Below are 19,265 nucleotides of genomic sequence, written 5' to 3'. Positions count from 1 at the left end.
ATATTTATTTATTTTATATACTTAATCTATTTCTAACCCATACAGCCACATTGTATGTAAGCGATAGTATTTTTTAATAATAAAATATAAGATTGGAATAAAAAGTAATATTTACGTATTGATGTTAAGAATTCTGATTTATGACACTTTCCAAGATTCTGGAATCAGTACTACAATTTTCTTTTCTTTTAAAAAAGGTTTTCCTGGTGTGCTTTGTACCTAATAACAATTAGGTACAAGTGAAAATTTACTGCCTTTTCTGTATCAATTTTATCTTAACACAAAGTAAGCCTCTGAATCTTAGATGAAATTTTCTGGATTTGTTTTTAGTAATATTAAGCATCACAATTTCACCACCTGCTCTTTTGTTGTGGTTGTGGTAAGAACAATTAACATTAGATCTACATTCTTAAAAACTTTTTAAATGTACAAAAAAGTGTCGTTAACTATAGGAACAGTGTTGTGCAGTGGATCTTAGAATTTATTCATCTTGCATAACTGAAACTTTATGGAATGTTATAGTGGTGATTATAGAGCAAATATGATAAAAAAAGAAGTGTCTGACAGAGGGCTGCTAAACCCAAATAATAGGCTTGCTTTCAAATATAGCTATTGGAGATACATAGGAAACTCTCTAGGTGAATCAATGCTATAAAGGCCAACATTGGAAACTCATCATCATTCATTTTCTTCATACATCATTTGAATTTTTAATTTCAAAAAAATTAATAAAATGGTGCAAATAAATTCAGGACCCAAGCATGATTTCATTGCAAAATGTTCATGCTTATTCATTCTTCACATGGAACACTGTGGAACTGATAGGTAAAAAGTACAATACGCAGTACAAAAGTTTCCCCAGAGTGAAATCCTTCCTGACACTCCCCATTTTCTCACTTCTCCCCATTGGAAGGATGACCTGTAATGTGGAAGCCTCACAGCTGCTCCTCATCACAGCCTTCCTGGGTGAAAAGTCAGTGCCATGCAGGACCCTGCATTTTGGCTCTTGCTGAGACTCTTCAGTTTACTTGTCTTCTATCACAGCTGTTTTCCTCTGTACCTTGTGTCTCCAGTGCTGTAGGCAGGTCTCCCAATTGTCCGCTAGCTACAGTTTCAGATTGCATGCAGAAAAACTCTCCTTACTGCTTGTTAGAAAATTGTGACTATTCTGCCAGAACAGTGCAGGCGGAGGAGGTGGGGAAATAGAGGAGTGGCACTCTGACCTAAAACATACCTATACTACTTTTAATAAAGAAAAAAATATAATTAAATCAGTAATAACATGTGAATAGTAAGGTGTATTTACATACACATTTTCTTTATGTGTATATAAAGAGCCCAACAAACCACGTGGTGTTAATTCTATTCTAAAGTTATGGAAACTGAGGGTCAGAATCACTAAATAAATCCCAAGGATATTAATGAATGAATGTAGTAAGGAATGAATGAGTTTCTAGGGAAAACTGCATGGATTGAATGGATCAAGAAATTGAGATAAAGAGAGGTCAAATTTTCCGATTAGCAATCAATTTACAGAGAGTAAGCTGGTCTGACAGTCACATGGGGTTTATGTTTGGGGGTAGGATGCTGCTGAAGAACCAATGATGACAATTTTTAAAGAAAACAAGAATGAATAACAGATGAAACATCATCATGGAATAGAAGAACAATGGTGAGTCAACTGGATGGTTAGGCTTTCACCAGAAACAGTTAGCTCGGTGGGAAATGTTGCAGCTACTGCCGTGTTTTACAAAGTTTTCTTAAGCTTCAGTGCCAATGTTTGAAAATCTAGGAGGGAGAATCAAATTGCTACAGAAGTATAGCTGGAAAAAAGCTGACTTAAGGAGAATTTAAAATCATAAATTTTAAGAATAGTTACTAAAGTAATTTAAACAATGATGTAAGACTTTTCTCTTTAATGTTTTTTTTTTTATTATTATACTTTAAGTTTTAGGGTACATGTGCACATTGTGCAGGTTAGTTACATATGTATACATGTGCCATGCTGGTGCGCTGCACCCACTAACGTGTCATCTAGCATTAGGTATATCTCCCAGTGCTATCCCTCCCCCCTCCCCCGACCCGACATTTAGGTTTTATATGCAAGTGCTACCAGTTTTCAAAGAACTTCAATAATTATACAAATTCTTCCACAAAAAATCGTAAAATGGGGAATACTCTGCAACATATTTTATGAGGCGGTATAATTTTAATTTTAAAAAGTAGACAAAAGTGGTATGAGGAAGAAAAATAGGTCAATTTGTTCATAAAGATTGATGCAAAATTTCTAAACAAAATATTAGCAAAGAAACTCAATTATCTTAAAAATATTAATACACAAGAATCAATTTGGGTGCCTGAAAGGATTTCAAGAATGATTAATAATGCAGAAATATATAAATGTTTATTCTCACACTAACCGATTAAAGGACAGAGACCTTGTCAAATCTCAAAAATGCAGAAAAACTTAATATTTTTATATAGTAAAAATTCTTATGATAGGAGTAGAAGAGAAACTTGTTAACCTCATAAAAAATCTCCATCAAAAAGAAGGAAAGTAAAAAGAAAGAAAAATAAAATCTCAATAACAGATATCCTAAATGGGCAGATTCCAAAAGTAATTCTTATCTTCAGGAACAAGATATGGATATTCACTATGAATACTCCTATTCAACAATATGTTGGAATTCTGTCAAGGAAAAAGACTCAGGGAAAGAAATAACAATTATAAAGACTAGAGATTACTAATAATACCATTGCTAGTAGCAAATGCCACAATTACATACATAGAAATCCAAATGTATCCACAAACAAAATGTAAGCAATAGAAAAACAGTGATAATATGATTATTTATAAAATCAATGTATAACACTCAAATATGTTTATATATGCCAGCAACAAAAATATTAATATTAATAAACATAATTTTTAAATGTTTAAAATACCAACAAAAACCACAAAACAACGAAGAATAAATCTAACAAAATATATGCAAGACCTGTTAGTAGAAAATTTATATCTTTGTTGAAGGATATTAAAGAATATGTAAATAAATCGAGCAATACTACATTCATGAATAAGGAAACTTAATTCATATTATACGTGTGTTATTTCTCCCAAAATTAATATATAGTTTTAATGCAACTTCAGTCAAAATCATGATTGGTTTTTCTTACTATTATTTTAGTTTTGGTGAAATATGATGAGTTTAAATGTACATGAAAAAAAGAAGAAATAATTGGTAAGATTCTTCATGCCCTGAGATATGGACTTACTGGAAAGCTGTAGTAATTGCGAGAGTATGGTACTAGTGCAGAGATGGACAAAGTCGTGAGTAAAACACAATAGAGAATAGAAATAGAAATGTACCCATATGTGGAAATAATACTTATCATGGACTTTGCATAGTAGAAAGTTGAATTATTCAATAAATGAAAAGATGGATAAAAAATAAATAGAAAAAAAGTGCTCCACTACAGCCAAAAGGAAGGATGAAAGGGAGTAAGAAAGGAAGAGAGGGAGGGCCGGAGGCCAGGATAAAGGGGAGATGGGAGAAAGTGGGGAGAGAAGAAAAGAAAGTACTTCACACCACAACAAACTAAGAATTTCTATGTCAAAAGTAAAACTGACATTTTAAGAGAGTGTATGTGAATTCTGAGCTCTGAGTAAGGAAGCTTGTCTTACAGAAGACTAGTTAAGGTACTGACTACTTATCAAAGGGATGATGAAATTGAATATTAAAACTAGGTTCTTATTCATTAAAATACACATTAATGAAAGTAAAAGAAAAAACTTTAAATTTGTAGAAGATATTTGAAAAAAAAGTTATTCAAAAAGGACTAAAATCAAAGACGTGTAAAATTTTTTTGCAAACCAACAAGGTGAAAAGGAATAGATAATGGAAACCAAAAGGATAAATAGGCATTTCACAAAAATAAGAAATAAAATGAAAAAGCGTGACAAGTGTTAAAGAGAATGGATTCAATAGAGCACATCCATTGTACATTGGTGCACCTTCTTTGCGAAAAACATTGATGTTATCTGGTAAAGTTGCATATTAATATGCATTACTCTAAAGTGGCCACTACCCTTAAGCACTAGGAAGTACGTACAGGCATACCTTGGAGACATTGTGGATTTGGTTCCACACCACCACAATAAAGTGAATATCACAATAAAGTGAATCACACAAATTTTTTCGTTTCCCAGTACATATAAAAGTTATGTTTATACTGTTGTCTATTAAATGTGCAATAGCATTGTGGTTTAAAAAATGTATATACCTTAATTTAAAAATAATTCATTGCGAAAAATTAGTAACAATCATGTGAGCCTCCAGGGAGTCATAATGTTTTTTCTGGTAGAGAGTTTAGCCTTGATTTTAATGGGAACCAAATGATCAGAGTGGTGGTTGCTGAAGGTGGAGGTGGCTCTAGTAGTTTCTTAAAATAAGACAACAATGAAGTTTGACCCATTGATGGACACTTACTTTTATGAAAGATTTCTCTCTAGCATGTGATGCTGTTTGCTAGCATCTTATACACAGTAGAACTTCCCTCAGAATTTGAGTCAGTCTTCTCAAATCCTGCTGCTGCCTTGTCAATTAAATTTATGTAATAATCTAAATCCTTTGTTACCATTTCGACAGTGTTCACAGCATCTTTACTAGGAGTAGATTCCATTTCAAGAAACCCTCTTTTTTTGCTTATCTCTAAAAGTCAATTCCTCATCCTTTCAAATTCAATTCTCATCAAATATGATGAGATTGCGGCAATTCAGTCACATGCAGCCTCCACTTACAATTCTACTTTTTGCTGTTTTTATGACATCTGCAGCGACTTCCTCCACTGAAGTCTTGAACCCTTTAAAGTCATCCATGAGACTTGGCATCAACTTCTTCCAAACTCTTGTTAATGCTGATATTTTGACCTCTGTCCATGAATTATGAATGTTCTTAATGACACCTAGATTATTAAATCCTTTACAGAGGTTGTCAATTAACTTTGCCCAGATCCCCAAAATGAATCACTGTCTGTGGCACCTATAGCCATATGAAATGTATTTTTTAAATAAGACTTGAAAGTTGAATTACTCCTTGATCGACGAGCTGCAGAATGTATGCTGTGTTTGCAGGCATGAAAACAACATTCATCTTTCTGCACATCTCCATCAGAATATTGGGTGACCAGGTACATTGTCAATGAAAATAATATTTTGAAAGGAATCTTTTTTTTTTTTTGAGAAATATGTCTCAGTCGTGGACTTAAAATACTCAGTAAACCATGCTGTAAAGAAATGCGATATCCCTCACGCTTTGTTCCACCATTTATAGTGCACAGGTAGAGTAAGTTTGGCATAATTCTTAGGGGCCCTAGGATTTTCATAATGGCAAATGAGCATTGGCTTCAACTTAAAGTCATCAGCCTCATTAGCCCCTAACAGGAGAGTCAGCCTGTTCTTTGAAGCTTTGAGGCCAGGCATTGACTTCTCCTTTGTAGCTATCAAAGTGCTAGATGGCATCTTCTTCCATTAGAAGGCTATGTTGTCTACATTGAAAAATTGTTGTTTAGCGTACCACCTTTATCAATAATTGTAGCTAGATCTTCTGGATAATTTGCTGCCACTTCTTCCTCAGCACTTGCTGTTTATACAGCTTCTTTCCTTAAGCTTCAAGAACCAACATCTGCTTGCATCAAACTATTTTTCAGCTTCCTCACATCTCTCAGCCTTCATACAATTGAATAGAGTTAGGGGCTTGCTCTGGACTTGGCTTTAGCTTAAGGGAATGTTGTGGCTCCTTTGATCTTCTGTCTAGACCACTAAAACATTCTCCCTATCAGCAATAAGGCTGTTTCGCCTTCTTGTTGTTTGTGTGTTCGCTGGAGTAACACTTTTAATTTCCTTCAATAACTTTGCCTTCGCTTTTACAGCTTGGCTTACTGGCACAAAATGGCTAGCTTTTGGCCTGCCTGTGCTTTTGACATGCTTTACTCACTCAGCTTAATAATTTCTAGCTTTTGATTGAAAGAGAAATGCAACTCTTCCTTTCACTTGAACACTTAGAGGACATTGTAGGGTTGTTAATTTCCCTAATTTCAATACTGTTGTGTCTAAGGGAATTAAGAGGCCTGAGGACACAAAGAGAGACAGGAGAACCGCTGGTGGGTGGAGCAGTCAGAACACACACAACATTCACAATTATGTTCTCTGTCTTACATGGGCGTGGTTCATGGCACCTCAAAGCAATTACTATAATAACTGATCAGAGATCACCATAACAGATATAATAATAATGAAAAAGCTTGAAATATTGCGATAATTACAAAAATGTGACACAGACACCAAGTGAGCATGTGCTGTTGGAAAACATGGCACTGATAGACTTGCTAGAAGCAGAGTTGCCACAGACATTCAAGTTGTAAAAAATGCAGTATCTGCTAAACTCAATAAAGAGTAATACAATGAGGTATGCCTGTACAAGAATGCACTTTTTGCAAGAATGTAAAGCAAACCAGTTGAAATGCCCATTGACATGGATTTTAAAAGACATGTAAGTGGTATTTAACACAGCAGTAGAAGTAGAAAGAACTTCAGCTACACGTGGGAAAAGCTTCAGCTACAACATGAATGAATCTGAGTACCAATGTAAGTGGGAAAAGTAGAAAGACACATGTTGATTATGTCAGACACGTGGTAACTCAGTATTCAGAGTAGTGCTCACCTTTGTAAATTAGAAAGGGCAGTGCTATAGGGAAAGAAAACAGAGAAATATGTAAGTTATTAGAAATGTTCTACTTCCTGGAATGGGCAACTGGTACATATGTGTTTATTATATTGTATATATATTAGTATAAGCAAAACAATGAGTATTAGAACCGAATAAAATATTTGCAACATGTCTCACAAAGGTTAAATATCCACAATATAATAAATGAGAAAATGCATGAAAGTTTCCTGTTCTAAATATCCATGGATATTATAATCAGATGATGGGTTTTAGTAATTTTTATACATATTTTATTATATTTATGCAGTGTTGGTATTACCTTGACAAAATTTTTTTAAATGATGCAAATTTAAATGCGAAGATTGCTGTAATATGCAAAGAGTTTTAAAGTATTATTAAAAGACATCTCGCCCGGCAAGGTGGCTCACACCTGTAATCCCAGCACTTTGGGAGGCCAAGGAGAATGGATCACCTGAGGTCAACAGTATGAGACCAGCCTGGCCAACATGGTGAAACCCTGTCTCTACTAAAAATACAAAAATTAGCCAGGCGTGGTGGCAGGCACCTGTAATCCCAGCTTACTTGGGAGGCTGAGGCAGGAGAATCCCTTGAACCCAGGAGGAGGAGGTTGCAGTGAGTCGAGATTGCACCATTGCACTCCATATTGGGCGACAAAAGTGAAACTCCATCTCAAAAAAAAAATAAAAATAAAAAATAAAAAGGCAATTCAATAGAAAGAAAGGCACATCTTTGAGTGTTCTTTTCATAGGACAGGTTACGCATCTCCAGGAAATGTATAAAAATATGCTGAACTCACTAGTAAACAGGGAAGTGTGATTTTACAACAAATAAAAAGACATTGGCTTTCACTTATTATTAAAGACATATCATAAAGTTGTTCATATGTAGTGTTTTGTGGTTGCAAGGAAATGAATCCTTGCATATTTGACAGTGGGAGCCATTCAGAGGGATATAATGATGTAATGGAATATTTTTCTCTAGAGTAGCCTTCAAAACACATGCGCACATTTACACAAATGTTCTTCAACTAATGTTAAATACAATACTTTTTTGTAGTAATGAGACACAGGAAATAGCTTAAAAATTCATAAAAAGAGATCATTCATTTTATCTTGTAGTACATGAACTTATTATAAAACATGATGCAGTGCTTAAAAATAATAATCTGACAGAATGCAACACATGACATATGCATATGTTATATACTGATACACAAAGTTCTCTTAGACATATTTGAAGTTAAAATAAAACCACACAAGTTAATGAACAGTATGTATAGCACAGTTTTATTCGTGTTGAAAATATGTGTGTAATAAAGATTTATGTACGAAAATTTGTATACGTAAGTACGTAGAAAAATTCCTTGGATAGTTGCATATTATATCACTATCAGTTGTTATGTTTGGGACAAGGGAGGTGAAGAGACACATAACATACCAAAATTTCTGTCCTGTTTCAATTTTTTTATTGCAATAAAATAGGCTATGACTGTATAGCTGGCTGCATTACCTGCCTTTGTGACTTTTCCCAAGGTAGGTTGCATTATTAAGCACCCTGCATGCAGTAACAGCAGAAGCAGTGGGTATTTATGGCAGCTGACCCAGCAATTAGGCTAGAGTGTTCCTGGGTGGAAAACACTGTCAACCAGGTCAAAATACAAGGTGAAGCCTGCCTCCTATTTGCAGATTCTCAGTCAAAAGGAAAGTTGGCTAGAACCCCAGTTGCAGTCTGATCAATTTCTCCCAGTAATGGAGAAAGTAGAACATTGTTAAAGACATATTTACTGACATAACTGTCACATTTATATATTCACTCAAAAGATAATTTTGGATTGATGAAATTTATTAAATGAAATAATGTAGTATATGTCATTCTGGGTTATGCGAACTGCAAATCACATCTGGGAGAATATCAATGAAAATTATTATAATTTACTAATTTTATCCTTAAAATTTTAGAGTTTATTAAAGAAAAAGAGTATATTCATTATGGAATCTAGAATATGTAATTACAAAATATTTTTAAATTATAGAATCTTGAATATATAATTATAAAATAGGATTAAAGGATATGTAAGTTATCACTGAGATATTTTACAGTTTTTATAAAATAAAAACGTATTTCATCGGGTAAAATGTTAATGATACAAAACTGAAAACATCTTATTTTTAAACTATTAATCATGTGCCATAACATGCTTATTTTTCAGGTTAAACTTTTTCCGTGATGTTCCTGACTTCAGAGTGTTAGCCTGTGGTGGAGATGGAACCGTGGGCTGGGTTTTGGATTGCATAGGTAATGCAGACACATACTTAATATGGCTGGGGAGAGAGCAATAGCTTTAAATCCTGTTTCATCTATGTGTCTATTGCTTGTATCATTATCTTTGGAAGCAGTGATATAATTGGACATCTGGAAGGTTGCACACTGGTTTAACTTATTATTCTGTAGTTCAAAAATTCAACTGGCAAAATAGTTTAGAAGTACATAGAAGTCCTTCCTTTCTAATCCACTTCTTACAGTGTTTACCAAATTTTCAGAGTTGTTTTCAGGGGCTCTAGGAAATCAGATTGTTTGTGTGCCCCAGACAAGGAACTGAAGGAGCAGTCTTAGTATTTGTGATAAAGTCTGTGCGAAATTGATGTGCTTACGTTTTTAAAACATGGACCCTCAAAACCTTACCCTCTGTATACATTTGTATCGTTATCATCCATCATCATCATCATCATCATAGCTAATTTTTATTCATCATGTTATCTTGTTTATTCCTCACAACTCTATGATACAGATAGTATTAATAATCCCATGTAGAGATAGGGAACCTAAAACTTGGAAAAAAGTAAATAACTACAACAAAGTCTTATAGCTGTGAACTGAGAGAGCTGAGATTAGAATGCACAGTTAAGCCTTATTCTATATTGCCTCTCTATTTAAACTGAAAACGCTCGATTTTTATGAGCAAATAATACAGGAACATCACTGAGGATATAAGGTAAGTATGCAGCACAAGAAAAAGTATAAATTCAGGAAAATTATTTGCTTTTTCAGATCTAGTCAGTTGTTGGAACTGGTTACTAGTTAGAAAAAGAGACCATGAATTGGCCTTTATGAGGAAATAAATCCAAAACAAATATTGACTCTTTTTGGTCTCATTTCAGTTACCGCATTGATCAATTCTTTGTTTAAAACAGGCCCTTTCATAAAACGAATTGATTCAAAAGAAGTTTTACCTTCTGTATAAATTGAAACAGACACCTATTTAGTCAATGCAGAAAACATTCTGTCTATGCATACACTAAAAATATTCAAAATAAGAAAAATACATGTTGGCAACACTTTTGATAAGGATCTAACAGCTTTAATCTACTAATATTTGATTTAAAAAGAAACAGTGAAAATTCTGATCTGGCCTTCCATTAAACAATGTAAATCATATTTATATGTTTTATCTGAGAAGACAACCAGAATTCAAGAATTACAAAAGTTAATGAGTTAGCTGGAAAAGTATCTGAGGACTTGTAAGGATTTTAGAGGAAAAACAGCAGGAATTCTTAGCTTGTTTTAGCCCTCAAAAATCTTATTGTCGGCTATTTCATTGTGACATTTCCCTACATTATCTATCCCCTCTATCCCTACACACATATGTACACTGATTTTGAGGGGCTAAGGAGGAAGAAACAAATAAAAGAAAGTGATATACATTTGTGAGATTAATTCAAGGCATGCAATGATTCAAACCAAAGCATATGGGATGTCAGCGGCAGAGATCTTTACTGCTCTGAACCCAAAGCATTATGTGATGTAAAGATTAATCTCATGGAAAACCTGCTGATCTCGTTGTATTCCAGCTGTTAACGTTGTGTTCCATTTGCTCTGACACAAAGCAGCACCATGGGTGGGAAAAAGTCAAGGACATTGTTAGCAATTTACTCACTTTTATAATTCAACAGTTTTCAAATATTTTATTCCTTTAAGTAAAATGTACCTAGAATTGATGTTGCAAAAGGACTTTATGTAGGAACCTACCCATCCATCCTAGTTGTGTCTCTGTATTGTAATCTTATGCTGTATATAATAATATCCCTGAGGATTGTAGTGGAGATAAGACACACCACAATTTTTAGCTGAGTTAAGATATTTAAAAAGCTTTCCTCTTGCCTGAGTTTTGAAAATTCCATCATTCCGTGAATAATAGTATTTGTGTCTTATCAATTGCTACAAATGTATACAAATTATCCATAATTCATTATTGTGTATATCTAAAACTACAATTATGTTTTGTTTATGAGTACCTATTGGAATTCCTTCATTTAATGTCATCAGGCTATCTTTTTATTTCCGTCGTTTTATCTGAACTTAAAATTTTCTTTATTTGTATTTTTTTTTATTCTGCAGAAAAGGCCAATGTAGGCAAGCATCCTCCAGTTGCGATTCTGCCTCTTGGGACTGGCAATGATCTAGCAAGATGCCTGCGATGGGGAGGAGGTAAAGCAGCTGCAACAACAAAAGCAGAAACAGTACACAACACCCCTTTCCCTTGCAAAACAAAAAGAAAAGAAAAGAAACAAAAACGATATGATTTCAGTGAAGATAACTGATGTGGTATATATAATATATGATTTTGAACAATAGTCTTGGATAGAAGAACAAATAGTGGAAAAAAGAGACCATGGGTATTGGGTTTTAATGTGATATTAAATAGAGACTTAAACTAAAGGAGGTCAAGTTTCCAAACATCTCTGGTTTTGGTTTTTGATTTTTTTGTTTAGAAAATAAGGTACACATGGATGCACTTCAAGGTAATTTTTATACTTTTCATTTATAAGTTGGGAGGTAAAATCACAAACAAAGGAAAGATGAAAGGCTAATGAATTAGTTTCCCAGGAGTGAATACGTTAAATAATACTCAGTTTTGAGACTCACTCTATGCTAGCCAGCTGTGCTCTGCACTTTGGATACAGAGTTGACAAAAGAAAAACAAAAGTACCTTGATTTCTAGTGGCACATAAAATCATATGTGAGACCTTACACTAACAAGTAAACAGATGATCATTATAGGGAAAGACCTCACTGAGGATATGACATAGAAGAAAAAACTGCTAGCTAGATAATGACACAGCCATGTAAAGCTGGGTGTGAACTTCATAGGCGGAGGGAACATTGAGTTCAAAGGCCCAGAGGTGGGAAGGCACTTGACATATTCAAGGAACTGAAACTGAAATAGTGTCGATGGAGTAGGGTAAGCAAAGAGAGAATATTTGGAGATGAGGTCTTAAAACATTTTGCAGAGTCACTAATAGGCTATATTTATCTGAAGATCACTGAACACCACTAGGTAAGATCACTAAACACCATCAGACTTTGGTAAAGAAGCAGGACTTGAATGCTAAATATTTTTAGCATCAAAGCTCACTTAGAGAAGTTTGAAAAGTGTCTACTAAGACAAGGTGAACAGAGTCCCTGGGGCACTTGTTAAAAATACAGTGGCCTGACCCCACCCCAGACATGCTGAATGGAAATATCTGGAATTGGGACCTGAGCAGATGATTTTTTTTTTTAAACAAACTCCCTAAGTAACTCTGATTTACGGCAAAGTTGGAGAATAATTCCATGAATATCTGACCAACTAGCTCTAAGCTGTATACGTGCTTGACTAAGTCAAGAGCTTAGTATGTAGTCTATTTGGGATGTTCAGTAAGAATATACTTCAGGAGTATTTTCATGAGTTGCATTAGAGTTCATGCAATCTAAAGAAATGAATAAAGACATCACCATTTCTGATAAGATACTTGTATTTGCCAGTGTTCATACAAGTGCATAGATTAAAAAGAAGGAAAATATGTGAGTCTTCTTGCCATGTTCTCCTGGAACATATATTTGATGTATATGAAAATTAATAATTTTATTTTTGCTTCCAGATTAACAAATGGCCTAAATCTCAAATTTGTTAAAGAAGTCCATATTTGGCATACTCTAATAATTCTTGTGAAACCACATACAAAGCACTAACAATGGACAAAGGCAAGGACTGTAGCATGTGTCAAAGAATCTATTAGTGATGAATTCCCTTTGAGTGTCTGATATGTGTTGGCACTGTTCTAGGTGCTAAATATACAGTGAGGAAATAAACAAATGGCTTCTATCCTTCTGGAGATTACATTTTCGTTGAGTATAATTGAAAATAAATTGAACAATAATGAAATATATAATTATAAAATATCAAAGAATCAGAAGAATGAATAATAGAGATGAACTATCTAGCTAGATGGCCAAGAAGGTCTCTCTGAGGAGGTAACATTAAAACTGGACCTAAAATATAAGAAGGAGGAGAAATAGCTCCCTGTGTTTCAAGGACTGAAGGAAGGAATGCAGGTGGGGTTGCTGAAGCAGCAGTGCATGGTGGGCAATTAGGGATAGTGAGTACTATGACTTTGGAAAGACAATTGGGAGCCAGATAATGCAGGAACCTATTTGTCATTGTGAGAGTTTTACTTGATTGAATTTGTCATGCAAAGTGAAGCTTCGAAAGTCTCAGAAGCAGAGTAACACACTGACACATTTTCAAAAACAGATTAATTTGGGGGTAGAAAATAAACTGGTCAGAAAATGTGAAAACATGCAGAACTATAGTTCTCCAAATGAGAACTTCTATTATAGTTGTCCCAATTGCATAATAAAGTGAGCAGACTAGAGCTTACATGATTTAAATCAGGCAAGTAGCCAAACTGGAGGTACATTTTCAGGCTTAGCTTAATTGTACTTACCAGTGGATTGGTTAGGAATTTTAGGGAAAGCAAGGTATCAAGATGCCCAAGTTGAGCAATTAGGGAAATGGAGAAGCCATTTGCTAGAGATTATTAACAAAGAAATATGCTTTACGGTGGGATTATTTCTTGACAGGTGTGTAACTTTGAGCAAGTTACTTAACAATTGTGTGCTGTAGATTCCTCATCAGAATTTGAAGAAAATAACAGTGCCTTGTAGGTTCTCGTGCTAAACCGATAACTTGTTTGCACAGTGTTTGTATTAGTTTGTTCTCACACTGCTATAAAGACATACCCAAGACTCGGTAATTTATAAAGAAAGGTTTAATTGACTCCCACTTCCAAATGGCTGGGGAGGCCTCAGGAAACTTACAATCGTGAAGGTGAAGGAGAAGCAAAGGCATTTTTTACATGGCAGCAGGTGAGAGAAGCAAATGAGCAAAGGGGAAATAGTCCCTGATAAAACCATCAGATCTCATGAGAACTCACTCACCACCACCAGAACTGCATGGAGGAAACAACCCTCATGATCTAATCACCTCCCACCAGGTCCCTCCCTTGACACGTGGGGATTATGGGGATTACAACTAAAAATGAGATTTGAGTGGGGACACAGAGCCAAACCATATCAATGTTTGTGTTAAGTACTTTATGCAGTTGCAGTAATTATTATTATGCTTAATATTTGTAGAAGAAAGTACTTCATTCAACCAATAATCATTTGGTTCACTTAAGATTCAGGGAATCTATTGACTTGAAGCCTCTTTTTTATAGGAATATATTTTCATATTTTGGAAAAGTTGACACTGTAAGAATGTAGGATATTCTAGCTTAATTAGCATTCTTTTTGTAAATTTCTGGCAATCATTAGTCTCTCTTAACAAAAATTTAATTGCAAGGAAAATCTTGTTTGTGTAGAATAAGGAGGCAAGTAATAGTTGTAAATTGGACACACTTTTTTTTTTTGAGACGGAGTCTCACTCTTTGGCCCAGGCTGGAGTGCAGTGGCGCAATCTCAGCTCACTGCAGGCTCCGCCCCCCGGGTTCACGCCATTCTCCTGCCTCAGCCTCCCGAGTAGCTGGTACTACGGGCGCCCGCCACCTTGCCAGGCTAATTTTTTGTACTTTTAGTAGAGACAGGGTTTCACCGTGTTAGCCAGAATGGTCTTGATCTCCTGACCTCGTGATCCACCCGCCTTGACCTCCCAAAGTGCTGGGATTATAGACATGAGCCACCGCACCTGGCCTGAACACACTTTTATACAGATTTGTTGTTGCATTTCTTTATGTGATTTTCATTTGCAAAAATTTCTATGACTTTTTAGATTCAGTCATTATAACATAATATCATTAAATATAAAATAAATATTAATCATGTTTTCATTTTGTTTCTTAGCCTGGATTGATTACAGGCTTTAAACCAAAATAATGAAAGTAAAATAGCATTATTCTTTTCTGTAAAAATCTTTTGCTGGCATATTTAGTGGATTTGATTTGTCTTTTTTAAAATCATGATCTTCTTGGGTACAGGAACCCTATTAATAGTTACTTATCATTATTTAACAATCTTGGGCATAGATACATACAAGAAGTAGGGAAAAGATATTTGTTAAATGGGGGACTACAGTTCAGAGTTTATCTATGTGAATCACTTCTGAATTGCAGATGTTGTAATTCTCAAGATTTATTTATTGCCTCTTTCTACTTTTGCTTGGCTAGAAGACAGATTTAAACCAGCCTTTTTCATGTTTAGTCATAAAAATCCCTACACACATATCCAGTGGTAAAGATTTTAAGCTGCGTGACCCTGCTACAATCTAGATGTGGTAATTGATTTTCACTACATTCATTCCTATCATGTTCTCTCCCGGTTAGGTTGCTGTTCCTACATTGTTCCAGTGTTATGTTGGACGGTGCTGCTATTAACCTGAGACATGACTGAGAAAAAATTCAACCTTTTTGAAAGCATTATTATTTACTAGTATTTCTGCTAATTGTATATATGTATACACATACACACACACGATACTCCTATATTATAATATATAATTATATGCAAATTAATTTATGCCTAGAGACTATCAAGCTTATTCTGACATGAAAGCAGAATTTGGAAAATAGATGAATATATTTAAGTGTTTTTTACTTAATTCAGTAGGTAAAATAATATATATATGTATATAATTTATTTGGGGAGCTATTACTTATACTTCTTAAAAGAAATTAACAATTAGAAATTAATTAAACATTTAAAATAAGGTAGCACTATTAAGAAACATGAAATGTTAGTAAATATAATTATTGTAATCTTGCAGTTTAAGCCATTCAGTGTTTTGCCACTGAGTACAGTTATATGCATATTATTAATACTTAACAGCTTCAAATTATACTGTAAAATATATGATAGCTTTTTAAATAGTATTTAGTCTATGGCCATACCACCCTGAATAGACCCAATCTCTTCTGAAATAATATTTAATATTTTCAATGTTTATGTAATCGTTACTTATTGTACCCTTTACTGTATGTATTAAGTAGCGAGTAATTACTTTTTAAACCTGTGTAAGGTAAGAAGTGATGATGAGCTCCAGAAGAGGTATTTCTAGTTTCTGGTGGCTTTCACCTTCTAATAGTTAATTGAACAGATACACCTTAAGTGTAACGTATTCCTCTTTAGGGAATTTTGGTATATGAGAGTGCCTGTTTTCTTTTAACCCAATGAGTTTATTCAATGATATGTATGCTAATAGCTCTAATGAGGACTCATAGCCTCTGGCATTTCCTTGTTCAACAATTAAATAATGAACAGAAAAAAATAAAAACTGAAAATGTTGTTCCGACTCAAAATAATCATTTTAGGACTATGTGTGTGCTTTTGTGTGGGTGAAAAGAGAGATGATTTAACTTAGTACAATATTTCAAATTCTGATGGTATCATCATCAGTAGTAAAATATTACTGAGAACTTTTTATTCTCTGTTTTAGGACTCATGTACTGAGAACTTTTTAGGCATTATCTTGCTTAATCTTCACAAGAACCCTAAGGTTTTTACAGGGAAGGAAACTAATGTTGAGGAAGATTCAGAAACAAAAACAGTAACTCTGTCAGGGTTAGGCTGCAGTGATAACTATAATGTTATCTACCTACAAATAAATTGAATATTGAGAATGTAATATTGACAAGACTTTTATTTTCAGGTCATGTTGACCGTCTATCATATATTCATTAAAAAATTGATTTGTTGAGCATTTACTCTATTGCAGGCTGGGTTAAGAGGGACCTGTAGTGAGAAAAACACAAGTAATGACAATGTGGTGTACTAGTTCTAAGATAGGGCTAGTTTTGAGAACTGCGTATAGCGGACTGTGAGAGGGGCATCTGAGCCATTATTTTGAAAGGGTGCTTTCCAGAAAGAAGTGTTAGCAAATTTATTAGTTTTATTTAATTTTATTGTTTTAAACAGGGAATATTACTCTGTCACCCAGGCTGGGATACAGTGGTGCAATCATAGCTCACTGCAGCCTGGAACTCCTGGCCTCAAGTAGTCCTCCCGCCTCAGCCTCCTGAGTAGCTGAGACTACAGGCATAAGCAGCAGCACTGGGAAGTAGTATTAGCAAATATAAAACAATGCCAAAGAAATAGATGCAAACCAGCCAAAAAGAAAAGGGACACCCTGAGTAGACAGAATAAGAAACGAAATTTTAAAGCTTACAAAAAGTAGGACCTTTTACTTAAATTGAAAGTTTTATATCACTAGACGGGAAAAGGTGAGGGTAAGAGAGTGATGGAAAGGGAAAAGTCTAAAATGTCATCCACGTTTCTGACTTTAGCAGCTGGGTAGAGGATGGTGTCTTTGTGAAGTCAGCTGCCCAGGAGGAAGATATGGAAGCAGAGAATTCATTCAGTTTTGAATCTATTGGTATAAAGTTTTGTGGGGAATACAGTAGAAATGTTCACTTGGCAGTTGTATATGCTGAGAATTTGCACCACAAAAAGAGAAATACAGTACATGTTACCAATTAAAGTTAAGAATTAAATGTGGGTATGAGTATAATCTTATAATTAATTCTTCATTTGGTGGCAGAATGTGCTTCAAAATCATTATTTACCTTTAGAATATTACATATGCATAAGCACACTGAAACATAAAAATACAGCTTTTTTATTTGGTTAGAGTTCTTTTCTCAAGGTATTTTTTTTTCCCACTAGGTTACGAAGGTGAGAATCTGATGAAAATTCTAAAAGACATTGAAAACAGCACAGAAATCATGTTGGACAGGTGGAAGTTTGAAGTCATACCTAATGACAAAGATGAGAAAGGAGACCCAGTGCCTTACAGTATCATCAATAATTACTTTTCCATTGGCGTGGTAAGATTCTCCACTAAATTTTACCTTTGTACCTGTACTGTATAATCACAGTGAGAAAACTTTTAAACTATGAAAATTTACTGATTATAAATAACTTATTTTACCTTTTGTGCCATCAAAACATCTCTTCTAATAGGCAATTATTATTGCTCTAATGACTATCATTATTATCATCGCTTACCAATTTGAAGTCAGAGTATCAGCAATTGACATATTTTTCATGTCTTAAGCAAAGGAAAAAAACTATATTCTTTGTAATTGGTTTATTTGTGTTACTAAAATGAAGCTTAGAATGATTTAATATACTTACAAGTTTTAGAGTATAAGCTAAAACTCCATATTATTGAAAATGTGAAAATATTGCGTTAAATTTTATCTTACTTTGAGATGCATTTTATAAAATCATTATAACTTACTAAAAATCTATGAAAAGTCTACAAAAAATCCTGCTACTATTCTCAAGTGATTAATAAGTCAGAAGGCTGGCTTTTCATTTCATTTCTTTTAGAATCTTACACAGAGTAAAATATTATATGGCAGTTGAAATAGTTATTAAAATTTTAATCCTAAAGGAATAATTTTAATAGTGATTTTATATATATTTTTAGCCAATGATTATGAAATCTAAAAATATAGAAAATAAAGCATTACATTAAATTTAATGTATGTCATCCCATGCTAATTTTATGTCATGTCACATCTCATACACACACACACACACACACACACACACACACACACACAGAGATAGATTATAAAAAGGCTAGTAGAATATAGAAAGCATTGGTTGAGTCCATGAACTTAAGAGGTAAGCTACCTGGGTAAAAGTCTTTAAGCAAATTATTTAATCTCAGTATCTATTTATTTATCTGTGCCATGCTGGTTATTATTTCCTCTCTCATAGAGTTACAAATATGATTGTACATTTAAAGAATCTCATAGAGTGGTACATGATGAAGGCTAAATATACAATGGTTACTAATACTGTAATGACTATTATTATTTGAAAGAAAAATGCAATGTGTCTTGATCCAGAGAAGCCCTCCTATTCACGTTGGTATAAAAACAGTATTTTTAACAGCTTTCTTAGTGTATCACTTACACACAACCTAATTCATTCATTGTAAGTGTACTTTTTAATGATTTTAGTAAATTAATCCAATTTTAGAACATTTTTATTACGCAAATCAGAACCCTCATGCCCATTTTTATTCAATCTTGGCTCTTTTTCCCAGTTTCAGGAAGGAATTGATTGGCTTTCTGCCTCTAAGATTTGTCTTTTATGGACATTCTATATTTAAAAATATCTAAAATCTCACAAAGGACTTACTCATGTAACCAAATACCACTGTACCCCAAAAACTTATGGGAAAATAATTTT

The 19,265-nt window shown here is 34.0% G+C and overlaps 1 protein-coding gene across 26 annotated transcripts in view; it reads left to right on the top strand.

Annotated features, from left to right (window-relative positions):
• Nucleotides 1–19,265, top strand: part of DGKB (diacylglycerol kinase beta) — an 829,810-nt gene that overhangs the window by 382,763 nt on the left and 427,782 nt on the right. For 25 of the 26 annotated variants that reach the window (NM_001350722.2, NM_001350711.2, NM_001350717.2 and 22 more), the window contains 3 exons: nucleotides 8,959–9,044; nucleotides 11,145–11,234; nucleotides 17,724–17,884. In NM_001350722.2, coding sequence (NP_001337651.1) covers nucleotides 8,959–9,044; nucleotides 11,145–11,234; nucleotides 17,724–17,884 — 337 coding nt within the window. Of the gene's footprint in view, nucleotides 1–1,583; nucleotides 1,673–8,958; nucleotides 9,045–11,144; nucleotides 11,235–17,723; nucleotides 17,885–19,265 lie in introns of those variants that run through there. The other variant, XR_001744571.2, reaches the window with a different exon arrangement.

Source organism: Homo sapiens, chromosome 7 (genome assembly GCF_000001405.40).
Source record: "Homo sapiens chromosome 7, GRCh38.p14 Primary Assembly".
Lineage (NCBI taxonomy): Eukaryota > Metazoa > Chordata > Mammalia > Primates > Hominidae > Homo > Homo sapiens.
Note: the sequence above shows the minus strand (reverse complement) of the source record. Positions and strands in the feature narration are given on the sequence as shown.